At 52.3% G+C, this 17,762-nt stretch overlaps 1 protein-coding gene across 1 annotated transcript, besides 5 other annotated features; it reads right to left on the reverse strand.

Moving 5' to 3' along the window:
• Positions 718-1,462: an enhancer, noted in NCBI's record as "H3K27ac-H3K4me1 hESC enhancer chr5:177407066-177407810 (GRCh37/hg19 assembly coordinates)". NCBI's record gives its function as "activates a minimal SCP1, AML or CMV promoter by ChIP-STARR-seq in primed H9 embryonic stem cells {active_cell/tissue: H9 hESC(primed)}" and the evidence as "EXISTENCE:reporter gene assay evidence [ECO:0000049][PMID:30033119]".
• Positions 2,850-3,018: a silencer, noted in NCBI's record as "fragment chr5:177409198-177409366 (GRCh37/hg19 assembly coordinates)". NCBI's record gives its function as "represses an EF-1alpha promoter that drives an FKBP-Casp9 reporter gene in an ReSE screen in K562 erythroleukemia cells {active_cell/tissue: K562}" and the evidence as "EXISTENCE:reporter gene assay evidence [ECO:0000049][PMID:32094911]".
• Positions 2,850-3,473: a biological region, named in NCBI's record as "H3K4me1 hESC enhancer GRCh37_chr5:177409257-177409821".
• Positions 2,909-3,473: an enhancer, noted in NCBI's record as "H3K4me1 hESC enhancer chr5:177409257-177409821 (GRCh37/hg19 assembly coordinates)". NCBI's record gives its function as "activates a minimal SCP1, AML or CMV promoter by ChIP-STARR-seq in naive H9 embryonic stem cells {active_cell/tissue: H9 hESC(naive)}" and the evidence as "EXISTENCE:reporter gene assay evidence [ECO:0000049][PMID:30033119]".
• Positions 12,888-16,895, reverse strand: PROP1 (PROP paired-like homeobox 1). The gene is made up of 3 exons (NM_006261.5): positions 16,478-16,895; positions 14,759-14,991; positions 12,888-13,700 (listed from the first exon to the last, which is right to left on the reverse strand). The coding sequence occupies exons 1-3, from the start codon at positions 16,584-16,586 to the stop codon at positions 13,362-13,364; spliced, it is 681 nt and encodes a 226-aa protein (NP_006252.4). The 5' UTR covers positions 16,587-16,895; the 3' UTR covers positions 12,888-13,361.
• Positions 17,047-17,546: an enhancer, noted in NCBI's record as "H3K4me1 hESC enhancer chr5:177423395-177423894 (GRCh37/hg19 assembly coordinates)". NCBI's record gives its function as "activates a minimal SCP1, AML or CMV promoter by ChIP-STARR-seq in naive H9 embryonic stem cells {active_cell/tissue: H9 hESC(naive)}" and the evidence as "EXISTENCE:reporter gene assay evidence [ECO:0000049][PMID:30033119]".

Here is a 17,762-nt window from a genome sequence, read left to right on the forward strand (position 1 = left end):
AGCTCATTTCTCCCTGGGTGTGTGTGTGTGTGTGTGAAAGACAGAGACAGAGCACGTGGGAGCTCATTTCTCCCTGGGGGTGTGTGTGTGTGTGTGAAAGACAGAGACACAGAGCACGTGGGAGCTCATTTCTCCCTGGGTGTGTGTGTGTGTGTGTGTGTGTGTGAAAGACAGAGACACAGCACGTGGGAGCTCATTTCTCCCTGGGTGTGTGTGTGTGTGTGTGTGTGTGTGTGTGAGAAAGACAGAGACACAGAGCACGTGGGAGCTCATTTCTCCCTGGGTGTGTGTGTGTGTGTGTGTGTGTGTGTGTGTGTGTGAAAGACAGACACAGAGCACGTGGGAGCTCATTTCTCCCTGGGTGTGTGTGTGTGTGTGTGTGTGTGTGTGTGTGTGTGTGAAAGACAGAGACACAGAGCATGTGGGAGCTCATTTCTCCCTGGGTGTGTGTGTGTGTGTGTGTGAAAGACAGAGCACGTGGGAGCTCATTTCTCCCTGGGTGTGTGTGTGTGTGAAAGAGACACAGAGCACGTGGGAGCTCATTTCTCCCTGGGTGTGTGTGTGTGAAAGACAGAGACAGAGCACGTGGGAGCTCATTTCTCCCTGGGGGTGTGTGTGTGTGTGTGTGTGTGTGTGTGTGTAAGACAGAGACACAGAGCACGTGGGAGCTCATTTCTCCCTGGGTGTGTGTGTGTGTGTGTGTGTGAGAGAGAGACACAGAGCATGTGGGAGCTCATTTCTCCCTGGGTGTGTGTGTGTGTGTGTGTGTGTGTGTGAAAGACAGACACAGAGCACGTGGGAGCTCATTTCTCCCTGGGTGTGTGTGTGTGTGTGTGTGTGTGTGTGAAAGACAGAGACACAGAGCACGTGGGAGCTCATTTCTCCCTGGGTGTGTGTGTGTGTGTAAGACAGAGACACAGAGCACGTGGGAGCTCATTTCTCCCTGGGTGTGTGTGTGTGTGTGTGTGTGTGTGTGTGTAAGACAGAGACAGAGCACGTGGGAGCGCATTTCTCCCTGGGTGTGTGTGTGTGTGTGTAAGACAGAGACACAGAGCACGTGGGAGTGCATTTCTCCCTGGGTGTGTGTGTGTGTGTGTGTGTGTGTGTGACACAGAGCGCGTGGGAGCGCATTTCTCCCTGGGTGTGTGTGTGTGTGTGTGTGTGTGTGTGTGAGAGACACACACAGAGCACGTGGGAGCCCATTTCTCCCTGGGTGTGTGTGTGTGTGTGTGACACACAGAGCACGTGGGAGCCCATTTCTCCCTGTGTGTGTGTGTGTGTGTGTGTGTGTGACACACAGAGCACGTGGGAGCGCATTTCTCCCCGGCTCCAGATGGCAGCAAGGAAAAGCGAGATCGCACAGGATCCAGGTTCTTTGAGGCCTGATGCCCATTGTCCCACCCTCAGCCTTGGCCTGTCCCCAGCTTGCTGCTGCCTCAAACTACAGGCTTCCAAGCACTTACTGGAGCCATTTTTTCTCACGTAGCCCTCCAACTGTTAGTCAGGGTTAGCCAGGCTCTGTCCGCCCCCAGCCAATCAGACAGTCAGTTTCCCCAGCCAGCGGGGAGTTTCTGGTTTGCCAAGACTCAGAGGCTGGTGGAAGCCAGACTGGGAAGGGGGTGGCTCTCCTGGCTGAGCGGGGGAGAGAGATGGGGCGGGCTGTCTTAGAGGAGGAGGCCAGAGTCTCTGACGAGTAGGGAGCCAGCCGTGCCGGGACTGGGCAGAGCGTGTTCACAGCACAGGTGGATGCAAGTGCAGAGCCCTGAGGGTGAAAGGCAGGGCTGCGGTGGGGCTTAGAGAGGAGAACAAGGGGTGGAGAGAAGTGGGGCAGAGTGGCTAGCCGCCCAGTCGGACCAGGCCTCATGGACTCTGGTGGCCACTTCAGATTCTCTTTTGGCTGCAGGTTTTAATCCCAACAGCAGTGCAACCTGGTCACACTTGAGAAACATGGGCAGCTGCCGTGGCAAGCACAAGTTGAAGCGGATGGATGTTAGTGGGCTTTGCTGTGGTGGGAGTGGGCATGATGACAGCATGGGCTGGGCATGGTGGGAAGGCTGGAGAGAAGCGGGAAGACCGGGTGCGTGAAGTGACCTCACCTGCCCACAACTCGCTGAGGTCACGGCAGGTGTGTGAGGAGGAATGGAGTATAGGAACTCCCGGGTCTTGGCCTGTGCAGCGGGTAGCGGGGGTGTCATGGGGACAGCCGCGGATAATGAGGGAGGGGCTCGGTGGACCCCTTGCTAGGTGGGGCCAGGCTCTGGCCCTCTTGTGCATCGCTTTTTGTACATCACGGTGTGGGCAGTGCTGTCCTGGGGCAATGTGGATCCATTATTCACTGCAGCACGGCACTACTGTTATCTTCTTATTTATTTGTTTCGTTATTGTTTATCCCCCAAATAGAATGAATGGCTTGCTGAAGTATCCCTTGTGCCTAGAACAACATTGGCACAGGGCAGGGGCTCGATGGATATTTGCTGAATGGACGGATAAAAGGATGGATGGTGGACACATGGATGGTGGATGGATGGCCGAATGAATGGATGGATGGATGGTGGATAGATGGCTCTGACGGGGGAATGGGAAGTTTGATACGTTGCTTCAGAGCCCAGAGAGGTTGGGGGGGTGGGGGTAGGAGCAGCGGCCCTGCCATCCTTCCCTCCCTGAACCACCCGACCCTCACAGCCCGTCTCAAATGGGCAAGGGGTTCAGGCATCCAGGGAGACGCACAGCTGCTGCCACACCAGGGCTCAGCAGTCTAGTCTTCTGCCCACCACACCGTCTCTCCTGCCTGCAACACCACTCTCCCTCCCACCCCCAGGGCACGGGACCTCCCCTGGGATCTGACCCCTCACCTCCAACGTGGTCCCCAGAGGGCAGGAAGGAGTGCCTGGGACATTTTGCATGGCCTCCAAGGAAGCAGCAGCCAGGAGGCGCCACAGACCTGAGGTTTTGCAGAGGCGGGACAGCTGCCAGCACCCAGGGCCCCGCCCTGGCGACACGGAGGTGCTGCGGCCAAGAGGGTTCCCCTTTGGGTTCACTGCTGCTGCCCACCACCCGGATCTGGGACGGCAAGGCTGCTGGGGACACTTAGCTTAGCTGGGACAATGTCTCAGGAAGCAGGAAACAGTTGGATCTGCATAGTGGTGGCTGTGGAAAGTCAGCACACAAGGGAAGTCCCCTGCCCATCAGTGTGTAGAAGGAGGTCCTGTGTCCAGTCACGGCTTTCAGGACCAAAGGCTTCCGCAGGGGCCCCAGGCCAGGGCTGCTCTGACCCTCCCATTCCTTTCCCCTCCAACCCCCTCCAGTGTACAAAACGCAGCGCCTGCAGGTGTGCTCAGAAGAGGAACTCCGCAGAGTGGAGGTAAGTCTCCGACATGGGAGAGAGGGAGAGGATCCCCTCTAGAAACCTGGCCTGGGCTCACATGATCCTGTCCTGGTATGTCCCAGTGTCCAGCAGGAACTTCTTGGGTCCAAGACAAATCTCCAGCTTCTGGCTCCCTGCTGGGCACTCGGTAGGTGCCTGATAAATATTTGCAGGATTCTGTAAGAATCAGAATTCCAGTTGTGCTATCTGAGGAGTCCGACAGAAAAGCAGAAGAGGTTATACCAGTGGAGGGAAGGTGGTCTTGGGGTCTGAACAGTTCGTCCACTGCTGCTCAGGTAGGTGGTTTCACCCAGGGTCAGTTTTGTCTTCTGGAGATAGGCCAGGTGACCTGACTTCCTTCACCCTGGGGCACCTATCCCTTCCCTGCAACTGGAGAGCCGGTGTGGTCAGGAGCTGGCTGTCAGCACCCCAACCCCTTTCGCCTTGCCAGCACTTAGGCCTCAGGCCCTGGTTCTTGGCGTGCCTTGTGTCCTCCTTTCCCTGGGGCAACATGGGCCCATCACACTGTAGAAAATGCTGGATTCTCCCATAGGTAACCTGTCTACTAGACAAAATACAGTGACTACCTATGTCCCATTCAGAGGAACAAGGACGCCAGGGCTCAGGTGACTCAGGAGTCCTGCAACCAAATTTGATTGGTCCCTAAGCCCCAAAGCCTTCAGCCATATAGCTTGCTAGCCATATACAGATACTGATGACCCCCCCAAACACACAGTCATTCTCTTCCCAACCTCCCTGACATCCACATAACCTGGGCAATGGCCACTCTGTGCAACTGACTCCTACCCCTCCTCCACCTTGGGCTGCTTGTAGGGTGCCATTACGGCAGTAAGGCGCTCCCTGGGCATCCAGATGCTGGTTGTGAGGGGGTGAATTGAGGGGCAGGCTGGAGGGAGGGGTGATCTTGGTGGGGTGGGAACTTGGAAGACTTCCAGGCTAATTTTGCCCACATTCAAAAGAGGAGCCTTAGAGAGCCTCTTTAGTTCAGCTTCTTCTTCCAGCTAATAGGAGAGAGTGTGCGTGCTCCAATTTCGGGGGAGAGGTTCAGATAATTTCAATAAAACCTGGAAAAAGCCATTGTAATGCCCACACAGCACAGTCTTAGAGCAGGCAGAGCCCCTGCTGTGAGGCCAGTCTTGGAGAGCCGTGGGCCTCCTGCAGTAGCGCCTCTCTGGAGGAGCGGGGCGAGTAGTTCCGGGAGCATAGTGGGTAGTTCTCAGGGTCCAGGGCATGTGCCACCCGGAGTCGCAGCCCCTTCTCCCACTTCTAGCCCAGGGTCCCAGTACTGGGATTCCCTGACCGAATGGCACCCATCCTGCTATTCCCGGATTCCATCTTGCCAAGGGCAGGCCGAGCCTTAGGCCCCAGGAAGCCAAGTGGGGGCACCATTTGCGGAGGTGGGGGGTGTAGACCGCTCCAGGACTGGCAAGTGGCGTCCACTCTCCAGCTGGGAGAGCCCTCTCCTGGTACCAGAGGGAGCCGAGCTGGGTAGAGACGCAGGACAGGCAGTGGGCCGGGCTTTTCACTTGTCCTCTCCGATCTTGGGAGCCAGGCGCCCGTTTCTGGAAGAAAAACCAAAGCTGGACTGGGAAGGACTCTTGTGGAGACCCGGACGTCAGGCGTGGCGCGTTGGGGAAGCAGCTCCACGGGGACCCAGGAGGCGCCGGCCGGGTTGAGCCGGGTTGGTTCCGACCCAAGAGAGCTCGTCCCACGACGGAGCAGGTCCCTTTGCATCCCGCGGGGCCGCCAGGTGCAATTTTCGCTGGGCCGACGGCGCGGAGATGGGCCAGAGTCCGGCCATCCAGAAGTGCCTGGAGCGCACAGCAAGGCCCTGCCCTCGGCTCCGTGAAGGTGAGGGGGTAAAGTCGGCCCGGAGTCCCCGGGGGTGCAGGAGGGGCCCCGCGGGTTCCAGCAGACCCTCGACGGAACGTTCCAGGCAGGCGAGATCTCGCACAGAATCTGCCCTTTTAAAGGCTCGGCTTTGTCCTCGTTAAACTTGCGTCTGGCAACGCGACCGCTGCGGCTCCCGAGCAAGATTAGAGGGTTTCCGCTCGCAGGGGCGCGCCCGGGGACCGCGCCTCCCCGCCTGGTCTCGGCGCCCCGGCCCAGGGGTCTTCAGTGGTGAGGGGCGCCCAGATCGCTGCATCCCCTGGAGCTCTGCGCCCGGCCGAGCCACTCAGAGCTCCCGCCCCGCACACCCACTTCGAGCTCCAAGTCCTTCCTTTTCTATACTCCAAGTTGGATCCTGCTGGGAAGGAAGGGCCCTTCCTGAGAGACCAGGGATTGCGATTTCCCAGCACAAAGTCGAATTCATGACTTCAGCTTCAACGGGGCTGCATTCTCCCCTTGGCAGGAATGGGATGGAGCGAGGGTGAAGCTGCTGGAAAGACACTCGTTTTATTTTTTTAATCGTAAACGGGGCAACTTCCAACTCTGCCAGTTTTAAGCTTCTAGAGTATCTCCTCGGCGGAGCGCGGTGGCTCACGCCTGTAGTCCCAGCACTTTGGGAGGCCGAGGCGGGCGGATCACGAGGTCAGGAGATCGAGACCATCCTGGCTAACACGGTGAAACTCAGTTTCTACTGAAAATACAACAAATTAGCCGAGCGTGGTGGCGGGCGCCTGTAGTCCCAGCTACTCCGGAGGCTGAGGCAGGAGAATGGCGTGAACCCGGGAGGCGGAGCTTGCAGTGAGCCCAGATCGCGCCCCTGCACTCCAGCCTGGGGGACAGAGCGAGACTCCGTCTCAAAACAACAAAAAAGAGCATCTCCTCTACCGAGAAGGGAAGACAGGGGAGTCCATCGGGTGCGCACTCCGCTGTCGCCCAGGCTGGGTTGCTGGGGCGCCAGTCTGCGGTGTTCAGGCCCAAAGCCTGCAGCCTGTTCAGTCCAGGGCACCGCAGGCGCCAGAACTCTGGCGGGCGGGCGGGCGGGCGGCGAGAAGGGCTGTCTAGGGCGCACGCCTCCCGCAGGGGCGTCAGAGGGTCGGGGCCGCAGGAAAGGAGGTGGGCGAGGACTAGCGAATGTAGAAGGGAAGGGCGCAGAGAACTTGACTTCCCACCTTTTGCGCTTTCCAGGCCAGCTCAGGGGCGAGTGTGGGCAGGGCGAGTGTGGGCACGGCGAGTGTGGGCAGGGCGAGTGTGGGCAGGGCGAGTGTGGGCAGGGCGAGTGTGGGCAGGGCGTGTGGGCACGGCGAGTGTGGGCACGGCGAGTGTGGGCACGGCGAGTGTGGGCAGGGCGAGTGTGGGCACGGCGAGTGTGGGAGACCCTAGGTCTGCGCCACCGCCGGCGTGAGCCTGAAAAGCTGCTGGGAGAACCAGCTCCGAAACAGAGTGCCCGGAAGAGATTGTGACACCTATGGAAATTTAATGAATTGATAAAGGGATCGATTCGATTCAATGTGAGAATGTTAGTTTATTTAATAAATAGTGCTGGTATAGTTGTCGATCTAGAAGAAACTCAATCCTCTGGTTTTCGGTATACACAAAATTGGTTCTGGATTTATTATAGGTTTTTTGTTTTGCTTTACTTTTAGTCAAATCGTTGAAGAAATATTATGGGGCATTTTTCTAGGCTTTATTATTAACTATTATTATTCGATGAGACAACATCCTAAACTACACTTTTTGGCAAGCTACTCAGGCAGTATCTCTTACCATTTTAAATAAACATAACGTTTAACACAGCAATCCTAACTTGGGACAGCTATCCCACAAAAACAAAAGCACCTGGATAAGAGGAAACTGTAGGGGAAAGTGTTTTGATGGAAACCGGCATGAGGGCCCTCCTTTCCGGTTTTGATTCTATCGGGTCTCTGAGGCCTTCCGGGCTTTTGGGCTATTTTACAACATTGTAGCTGATTGCAATGCAAAAATAGCCCGGCCCCTAGACAGGTACGTGAATTCTGTTCCGTGGAGATTCGGTTGACTACGCTCCCCAACTGTGGAAGAGGCCAGCTGTGTGTCCATTTACACGTTCACTTTGCTATTCATCTATAAATGTGTCTGTTCTTTGGATTGTCCTTGGTTTAAACATCTTCATTATTGCCTCCATAATGAATTAAGATATTTAGTACACAATTATTTTGCATCTCTGAGTCATGATTTTACCTTTAATAAAAAAAAAATCCTTTAGCAATATAACTGCAGAGGCACAAAACAAAACACCAAACAATGAACTGCCAGTTAGCAATGAAAACAATAAAATCTGTATGAGCCACTCGCAAGATGTCCATAGGTTGTTAGTTTTAAAAGGACATTATAACATATATGGCAGGATCCCATTTTTGTTTTTATTTTTTAAGATGGAGTCTCGCTCTGTCGCCAGGCTGGAGTGCAGCGGTGAGATCTCAGCTCACTGCAACCTCCACCTCCTGGGTTCAAGTGATTCTCCTGCCTCAGCCTCCCGAGTAGCTGGGACTACAGGTGTGCGCCACCACGCCCAGTATCTTTAGTAGACACGGGGTTTCACCGTGTTGGCCAGGGTCTCAAGCTCCTGATCTCATGATCTGCCTGCCTCCGCCTCGCAAAGCGCTGGGATTACAGGCGTGAGCCACCCGCACCTGGCAGGATCCCATTTTCAATTCTAAAAAGGAAAAAGCCATTAGCCTGGGCTATATGACAAACACAAAGCCACCCAGATAGCACTGAGTACCCCTCGGTTCAGATCCTGTGTTACACTGTGCTTTCCACTTCTAAGACATGCTGTCATTTGTGTGCCTGTCTTCCGAGTTTACTTCCTGTGTATGCACTGGTGGAGGCTAAAGGAATTCCATCTCGGATGAGAGGCTAGTCATTCTATTTTGGATGCTAAGCCACCAAGTGGAATTCTGATTAACCCCGTTCTGGGATCCAAGATCGTTCCTTGTGTAAGGGTAGGTAAAGAGGTATTCCCCGTAAATCGGCACTTAGGACAAAGTCGTACCCATTCCCTCTGAAGCACGGGTGCCCCTCCCCTCTAGTATAGAATCCCTGGGTCTTGAGGGGGTAGACACCATCTTCTCTGGCCACAGCTCAGGACATGGATGTGGCTTCTGCTCTCAGGCCCTGTTCAATGTTTTTAATTGTTTTGTTTTGTTTTGTTTTTTGAGATGGAGTCTTGCTCTGTCACCCAGGCTGGAGTACAGTGGTACGATCTCGGCTCACTGCAACCTCTGCCTCCCAGATTCAAGCGATTCTCCTGCCTCAGCCTCCTGAGTAGCTGGGATTACAGGCGTGAGCCAGCATGCCTGGCTAATTTTTGTATTTTTGGTAGAGATGGGGTTTCATTATGTTGCTCAGGCTGGTCTCGAACTCCTGACCTTGTGATCTGCCTACCTCGGCCTCCCAAAGTGTTGGGATGACAGGTGTGAGCCACAGTGCCTGGCCTCAATGTTTCTTTTTAAGAAACTGAATTTTTCAGCCTTTGGCCTCTCAGCTTCCTTGGACTTTGGAGTGGGTTTGCACAGGCCTGCCCACTACAAAACAGCGCTCTAACATACGCCATGCAAAAGTAAACATATAATCATTTTTAAACCTTTACATAATGTTTATTTTGCACATTTAAACACTTTATATAAAGGGTATGATATATGGAAGTTGTTTTTTAAATAAAAATTCTGATCAGGCGCAGTGGCTCATGCCTGTAATTGCAGCACTTTGGGAGGCTAAGGCAGGTAGATCATTTGAGAACAGGAGTTCGAGACCAGACTGGCCAACATGGTGAAACCCATCTCTTCTAAAAAAAAAAAAAAAAAAAAAATACAAAAATTAGCTGGGTATGGTAGCATGCACCTGTAGTGCCAGCTACTCTGGAGGCTAAGAGAATTGCTTGAACCTGGGAGGCGGAGGTTGCAGTGAGCCGAGATCTCACCATTGCACTCCAGCCTGGGCAACAGACCAAGACTCGGTCTCAAAAAAAAAAAAAAATGTTTTTTTTAAATTCCTGAAGGACATAACAGAAGTCTGGAAGAAACGACAAGACACACCTTGTGTTTGGATAAGAAAATTAAATATTTTAAAGGTATTGATAATTCTTACATTTCAATCATTAAAAGACTGTAGTGCTGGAACTGGAATAGAGAAACTGATTGATGAAAAAGAATGAGGAGTCCACAGCTGTCCCATATATATATATATACACATCGGTATATATATATATACACATCTGTATATATATATATATATATATATCTGTATATATATACACATCTGTATATATATATGAGAACTCAGTATATGAAAAATTATGATTTTACAAATCAATAGGGTGAAGTTTGACGATTAAGTAAATAACAATGGAATAACTAATTAGCTGATTGAGGGAAATTGCATGACTATTTTGCTGCACATAGCAAAATAAATTTCAGGTGATTCAAGTTGTAGCCTTTTGATCCAAATAATAAAGAAAACATAGATCAAACCACTAAAAACAGATTTCTCACCCGGGGCTCTTCATCTGAACCACACAACACAGAAAATGAACTGAGTGACTAATTTCTAAAACATCTACCAGTTCTACAAAACTGGTGTCATTCTAGATGTTTCAGACAGAAGTTAATGCCTTACATACAACAGGTGTCGGAAATTCGTGTTAATTCTCTCAGGAAAACTTCACTGCGAAAGGCTAAAAGACAAATAACCAACTTTAAAAAATAGTTGCAATGTGTGGCCAGGCGTGGTGGCTCATGCCTGTAGTCCCAACACTTTGGGAGGCCGAGGCCAGTGGATTGCTTGAGCTCACAAGTTCCAGACCAGCCTGGCCCACATAGTAAAACCCCATCTCTACTAAAAACACAAAAATTAGTCGGGCATGGCAGCGTGCATCTGTAGCCTCAGCTACTTGGGAGACTGAGGCAGGAGAATCGCTTGAACCCGGAAGGCAGAGGTTGCAGTGAACCGAGATAGTGCCACTGGACTGCAGCCTGGATGACAAAGTGAGACTATGTCTCAAAAAAAAAAAAAAATTGGTTGTAACATGTATGAATAGGAATTCATATCCCTAATCCACAAAGCTCTCAGACGCTAATAAAAGATGACTATATCAATATACAAATACACAACACAGAGGCAATGCAGAAAAGAAAAATGTAAATTGCCAATAAACATGAAACTTTTAACTCTCACTAGCAATTAATGAACATTTTAAAATAAGCAAACAAGAAGACATCACTCTCAGTTAACAAATTGTCAAAAATGGTACAGGTTAACAAGGAGGTGCTGAAACCAATACTCAGGTTCTTTTGGTGGAATTCAAACCAGTGTAATTTTTCTAGAAGGCAGTCTGGCTCAAGGAGATAATTAGGTAGGAGTGCAATTGTGTAATACAGGGGTTGTGATTCCAGACTTTTTAATAATATATATAAAAAACTACTCACAACTTGAGTATCCATCACTAAAGGCCCGTTTAAAGATTATTCTATGGGACGGGTGTGGTGGCTCATGCCTGTAATCCCATCACTTTGGGAGGCCGAGGCAGGTGGATCACCTGAGATCAGGAGTTTGAGACCAGCCTGGACAACATGGTGAAACCCCAGCTCTCCTAAAAATACAAAAATTAGGTGAGGCTGGGTGTGGTGGCTCACGCCTGTAATCCCAGCACTTTGGGAGGCCGAGGCAGGCGGATCACCTGAGGTCAGGAGTTCGAGACTGGCCTGATCAATATGGTGAAAGCCCATCTCTACTGAAAATACAAAAATTAGCCGGCTTTGGTGGCGGGCGCCTGTAGTCCCAGCTACTCGGGAGGCTGAGACAGGAGAATCACTTTGAACCCGGGAGGCAGAGGTTGCTGTGAGCCGAGATCACACCACTGCACTCCAGCCTGGGCGAAAGAGGGAGACTCCATCTCAAAAAAAAAAAAAAAAATTATGTGGGCGTGGTGGTACATGCCTGTAATCCCAGCTACTCAGTTGGCTGAGGTTGGAGAATCGCTTGAACCCAGGAAGTGGAGGTTGCAGTGAGCTGAGATCACGCCATTGCACTCCAGCCTGGGTGACAAGAGTGAGACTCAGTCCCAAGAAAAAAAAAAAAAAATTCTTCTGTGAAGTGCTGTGAGCACGAGAATGCCGGCTGACAGCCACCACTGCTGCCATCACCATCCACCTCCCTCCAGGGGCTTCATTCTTCACTTCATCGAGCTGCCTCCCCGTCCCTTGTCCCTACCCCTTGCCCTGCTTCTGCAGGAGGTAACCCTGCTGAGGGTCGGGGAGCAGGGCTGCAGGCACAGGGAAACTTCCTTCCCACTAAATGGGTAGCAGGGATGGGACAGGGAAGAGGAGTTGGAAGAGAGGAGAGAGATGAAAGAGGGAGGGGAAAAAAACCAAGAATAAAAATCATATCTAGAGGCACATGAAAAAATAAAAATTAAATATTAAAAAAATCAGGCCTGGCGCAGTGGCTCACACCTGTAATCCCAGCACTTTGGGAGGCTGAGGCAGGTGGATCATTCGAGGTCAGGAGTTCAAGACCAACCTGGCCAACATGGTGAAACCCCGTCTCTACTAAAAATACAAAAAATTAGCCGGGCACGGTGGCACACCCTGTAATCCCAGCTACTCGGGAGGCTTAGGCAGGAGAATTGTTTGAACGCGGGAGGCGGAGGTTGCAGTGAGCCGAGATCACTCCATTGCATTCCAGCTTGGGCAACAAGAGCAAAACTCCGTCTCAAAAAAGAAAAAAAAATTTAATTTAAAAAAGTTTTCTATGAACCCTCCAATAAGAGAGGTAAGCATACATATAAATAAGTGAATTGTGAGTAAAATAAGTGCATAATAAGCAATATCGCATAAAAATTGTACCATGAACTAGGCTCCATGCTGTTTCTTTTGAGAGGGTTCAGACCAAGGCGTTTCCCAGAAGAGGCAGGTCCCTTCCTGGGAATGACCCCTCATCAGCCTCAGACGGTTTCGTCTTAGAAAAGTTTGCCCTAAATCAAATGGTTTCTTCTCTATCAGAAACCACATATGTTAAAATGTGCCGCTGATTTAAAAGTTGAAGGCAGATGTTGAAGACTTCTACAGGCAAAACTAATCAAATCTGATTGATGTATTTTTTATAAGACATTGGAGAGCATTCCTTGATGTTGAGATTTGCACAGGTTTGTTGGAAGTGGGATAGACTAGAGTTAAGGGAACCTATGCGACAATAAGTCAGAAAATACGGGGTCAGAAAAAGCCAAGTGTCTGCTGGAATGGAAAGGAGGGGACACTCTGAAGAGATATTTCGGCTGGGCTCAGTGGCTCACACCTGTAATCCCAGCACTTTGGGAGGCCGAGGCGGGCAGATCACGAGGTCAGGAGATTGAGACCATCCTGGCTAACATGGTGAAACTCCGTCTCTACTAAAAATACAAAAACAAAATTAGCCGGGCGTGGTGGCGGGCACCTGTAGTCCCAGCTACTCGGGAGGCTGAGGCGGGAGAATGGCGTGAACCCAGGAGGTGGAGCTTGCAGTGAGTCGAGATTGTGCCACTGGACTCCAGCCTGGGCGACAGAGCAAGACTCTGTCTCAAAAAAAAAAAAAAAAAAAAAAAAAAGGTATTTCTAGGACAGAATAAACAAAAGTCAGTGACTGATTGAGATGGCGGGGTGGGCAATGGGGAAGGGATGTATAGGTAGACTCTTAAGTCAGAAGCCTTACTGAAATCAGCCAGAAAGAGCTGGGATCTTCTTCAATCGTGATCTCAATTAATGAAGGCCCTCACCTCCTAGCCCTTCAATCATCTCCACTCACCAGCAACTGTCTTCATCAATATCACCCTTCAGCAGGCAGCTCCACCGAGGCATCTTGCCCTGTCTCTTCCAGTAGCTCACCTCCCCAGACTTCCTCCACTAATCACCCCAGTGAGAATTCACCATGATCTCCCATTTTTAAATTTCTAATCGCTGAGCTGACCCTCACCATGCATCTGCTTCACCCATAGATGGAAAGGAAGCCACCCCATTTTCTTGTCTTTTCACGAGGGCCGCAGGCTGGGGATCACCTTGGTGGTACTTGTTTGACCTCAGTTCCAGGACTTGGATGGCTCAAGGCTGAGGGGGAGCATGGGAGGGGGTGGGGGGCAGGGCAGATGGCCGGCAGGGGCTGGGTGCAAGGTAGGGTACCAGTCCTCAGACTGGTGTGACAAAGCAAAGGCGCCTCCTGTGGAGGGCTGGGAAGGGAGGGCATGGCTGTAGGGGTGAGGGAAGCAGGTCACTGGTGGTGGTGGTGCTGCGTAAGAATAGGGGCAAGCAGTGGACTCTGGCAAGAAGCTGGAAAAGGCGGCAGGAGACAGATGGGCCAGAGGCTGAAGCAGTGAGCGCTCTTGCTTCCGTTGCTTAGCTCTGCGGTTCTGGAACCAGACCTGAGAAGGGGTAGGAACCACATCAGAGCCCACACTTGACATAGGTGGTGACACCCTACTCCAATGACAAGAGGTGCAGGGACAGGGAGCAGGCTTCTCCAGCATGGCCAGAGGGAGTAAAGCTCTTCCACAAGGCTTGGCTGAGCCTGGTCTGCTGACAAAGGAACCCACAGACTTGTCCCCAGCCTCTGTCCACATGTGCCCTTTTCTAACACTCGGGGCAAGTAAGAAGTGTCAGCTTCCACCAAGGAGATAAATATGGTGACAATGACATTTCCCTTCCCCAGAGAATGGGAAATTTCCCCTAGGGTTAAGTTTAACGATTAAGACTGTAGATAAATGTAATTGCTATAGACAAGCTTGAATTTAGGGTAGGGTTTACACTTAAGGCTAACCAACCCTGGGGTTAGGATTGAGGGAGCATTTGGCTCATTGAGTTTCAAGGCTATGGTTAGGGACAAGCTTCTGTAAGAATATGGACAGTTAGGATTGAACTTCTGTTGGAATTGGCATCACTATTTTTTTTTTTTTGAGACAAAGTTTTGTTCTTGTTGCCCAGGCTGGAGTGCAGTGGCATGATCTTGGCTCACTGCAACCTCCACCTCCCGGGTTCAAGTGATTCTCCTGCCTCAGCCTCCGGAGTAGCTGGGATTAATTATAGGCACCTGCCACTATGCCTGGCTAATTTTTTGTATTTTTAGCAGAGATGGGGTTTCACCATGTTAACCAGGCTGGTCTCGAACTCTTAACCTCAGGTGATCCATCCAGCTTGGCCTCCCAAAGTGCTGGGATTACAGGTGTGAGCTATTGTGCCCAGCCGGAATTGGCATCACTATTAAATATTGAGGGTAGGTGTTGAAATTCAAGTTAGATTAGCTTATAGCTAGGGTTAAACTCAAGTGATATGATATTCTCAATGCAGTTGCTCTGATGCTGGTGGTGAGATGAGGCCTGTGTCTGGTGACCATTTAGGTTAGGGTTATAATGCCCAACATTCTATGATAGCACCAAAGAAATCTGCATTTCTTTCCTGAGAGAGGAGGATCCTGGAGCATCACCTGGATTCGGGCCTCACTGAGGCCAGTGTCCCGGGCAAGACTCTCTCGGGCCCAGATGTCGGGGTACTGGTTCCTCCCAAAGGCTGACTCCAGCTGTTCCAACTGCACTGGGCTGAAGGTGGTGCGGTGGCGGCGCCGGGAGTGCGGGCGGCCCCTCTGTCCTCCTTGCGGGGAGAACCTTGATCTCCCCCCTCCTGCACCAGGGAGCCTTCTGCAGGGTGGAGCACTCGAGTCTGAGAACGGAGAGAAGGGAGGGGCGGCTTCTGAGGAGGACGCTCCTCGGTGCTGGACCACATGTGCCTGTCCCGGGATTGCGCTCAGTGCGTCCTGTGCTGCTCCAGTCTTTTTTTGAGACAGAGTCTTGCTCTGTCTCCCAGACTGGAGTGCAGTGGTGTGATCACAGCTCACTGCAGCCTCGAACCCCTGGGCTCCAGTGATCCTACTGCCTTAGCCTCCTGAGTAGCTGGGACTACAGGTGCACACCAACATACCCAGCTAATTAAAAAAATAAAAAATTAGAGATGGGGTCTTGCTATCTTGCCCAGGCTGGTCTCAAACTCCTGGCCTCAAGCAGTCCTCCCATGTCAGCCTCTCAAAGTGCTGGGATTATAGGCCTGAGCCACCGCACCCAGCCCTGCCCCACCGGGAATCTTTTAGCTGCCATAGCCTGGTTCCTGCACCCTGCTCAGCCTCGGCCCCTGGTTGCCTCTGAGTCTCTGACACCAGGCTGTGCTGTCTACACAGGGCACACCCTCAGACTCATTCCTGGCCCTGGCACTCATGCACTGTCTACCTGGCAACTCTACTGTCTGCCCACTTCCTATTGCACTGCCAGACACATACCCCTCCATGTACGTTCACCCTTCTGGACACACACGACCACCTGGGGCTCACCCTGTGGGTCTGCTGTGTGCACCTGCACCCTAACAATCGTCCCAGCTGTCTACGGAAGACCCTAGTGCTTGTCCCCTGCTGGCGAGGCTCCTGTTCAACCTGTGCCTTCTTCAGACTGCTGCCATCTCCCGCACCCCTCACCTGGGAAGATGGGCACCCCCCTCTTCCGCTCAGACACACCCTCCCCTACTTACTTTTCATCTCCTCCCTACCCCTGCCCTGGCCCAGCCACCAGGCTGCAGGAACTTGAGCTCGTGGGAAAGGCTTGCCTTCCTCCCCACAGGCTCCCTAAGCCCCCACACTAATTAGTCTGAGAGCTGTTGGGGAGGAGAGAACGGGGAGGGAAAGGACACACCTGGAAGGCGCACACCAAGAAAAGATGTCTGGAGCCGAGGCACCATCCCCATGGGGCCCAAGGGCGTGGACCCTCCTAGAGCTCACTGTCCACCATGGGGGACACACACACGGAGCCCGCCCTCCCGCCCTGGACCCAAAGCCCTGGCCCCTCCAGCTCCCTTCATCAGAGAAGGCAGTGGCTTGGGCTAACCAACTCTGAGGTCAGGAGTGAGGGGACAGAGGTAACTGTCTCACATCCCCACTGCAATGTGAGCTGTTCAGCCGCCCCCTCCTGCCAAGGGCTCAGTTCCCCAGTCTGTAAAGCCAAGGGGTGCTCCAGTCCCTTTTACTTTCAAAGGTTCCCACAGTTTTAACATGATAGGATTCGGGTTTTAATTTCTCCTCCTAACCTTCTTCATGGAGCCTATGCTTTCAGCCTCACACCCGCTGCCTCCTCAGGGACCCACGCACACCGGGACGGTCACTCACCCACCGTGGTGGTCGGGGTCCCAGTGGCCGGGTGTCTCTCAGGCAACAGGTTGCTGCCGACTCGCCCCTTCTTTGGCTTCTCAGCCTGGCGCCTCCTTTCTGCTTCCATGGCTCGCCACGGGGACCAAGTGTCCCTGAATCTCTGACTTGAGATTTCTCTGCTTCCGCAGCTCCTCTCCACACCTGTTCCCTCCCCTTCTCCCTCTGTGTATGCCACCCTCTGGGACTCTGTCTCTGAATGTGTGTGTAGGTGCAGGCAGCTGTCTCTGACTTTTTCACTGTCTTTACTTTTTTTCTAATTGTTTCCTAATTCCCCCTTCCTTGGCTTGAGTGTCAGCTCAATCTCCTGCCTCAGCCTCACCTGTTGCTCTGTTTCTGACTACTTTTCTCTGCCTGGCCCTTCTCCCCACCGGGATGCTGCTCCCTTCTGTCAGCTGCCTACTTTCCCATCCCACCCCTGAGTCTTGGAGGAGTGACCTCCTCCTCGCCCCTGTGGGCCCATCCAATCACTACACGGTCACCAGAGCCCCCTTGCTCAGGGAGGATCACAAGCCGGATGAGGGAAGGTGTTCTGTCGGAGGGTCCAGGGACTGGGGCCAAGGGCTCGTATTCCCAGAGGACCGGATTCTTTTGTCCTGTTAAATCCCCTCCTGGGAGCAGGCAGGGGGAGGAGGAGAAAATGCATTCCTCCCGAGACCCCCTCCTCACAACCCCACTGTGGGGAGAGGAACGAAGAGCAGGGGAAAGGGACCCAGGAGTGGAGCCTGCCTGGCGTCTCAGCATGGGGGTGACACTCAAGGATCTGCTTCCAGGAAACTAAAAAAGGAGAAGTCACAAGTGCATGCTGGCCCCTCTCAGATACCCTGATAGTTCAGAACACACCAGCCAGTGCTCAGGCCAACCTGAACCCACTCCGGAGAATGGGCCTCCAGGACACCTTAGCTCTCAAGTACTTTCTGATTTCCTCCCTCAAACACCACTTCCTCATTCACCCAGAACCCCCAGGACACCATGACCTTCCAAGGTCACCCAGACTCTCCGAAAACCCTGACCTGAACATCTGCATTCCAGCTGCATCCTGACCCCCAAACCCACTCCAGACTCCAGGACTTGGAAAGAGACTGAGATTCCCGTGACATACTACATTCTGATTCTTCAAGAAAATCCTGACACCGGGAATCTCTGAGCAGTCAGGACAGCCTGGTCCCACAGTACTCTGCCCCTTGAGGTTACTTAGACCTGGGAAGTACATTCTGACATCCCCAGGACACTCTGACAGTTTAAG

The sequence above is a fragment of the Homo sapiens genome, chromosome 5 (genome assembly GCF_000001405.40).
Source record: "Homo sapiens chromosome 5, GRCh38.p14 Primary Assembly".
Lineage (NCBI taxonomy): Eukaryota > Metazoa > Chordata > Mammalia > Primates > Hominidae > Homo > Homo sapiens.

Excerpts from the sequence above, each read along its gene's own strand:
- PROP1 (NM_006261.5), bottom strand. The coding sequence starts at position 16,586 with ATGGAAGCAGAAAGGAGGCGCCAGGCTGAGAAGCCAAAGAAGGGGCGA. Across the intron at positions 14,992-16,477 it reads GACCCCGACCACCACGGTGG|ACTCGAGTGCTCCACCCTGC; the intron begins GTGAGTGACCGT and ends CTCCGTTCTCAG. Across the intron at positions 13,701-14,758 it reads TCAGTGAGGCCCGAATCCAG|GTCTGGTTCCAGAACCGCAG; the intron begins GTGATGCTCCAG and ends ACCCCTTCTCAG.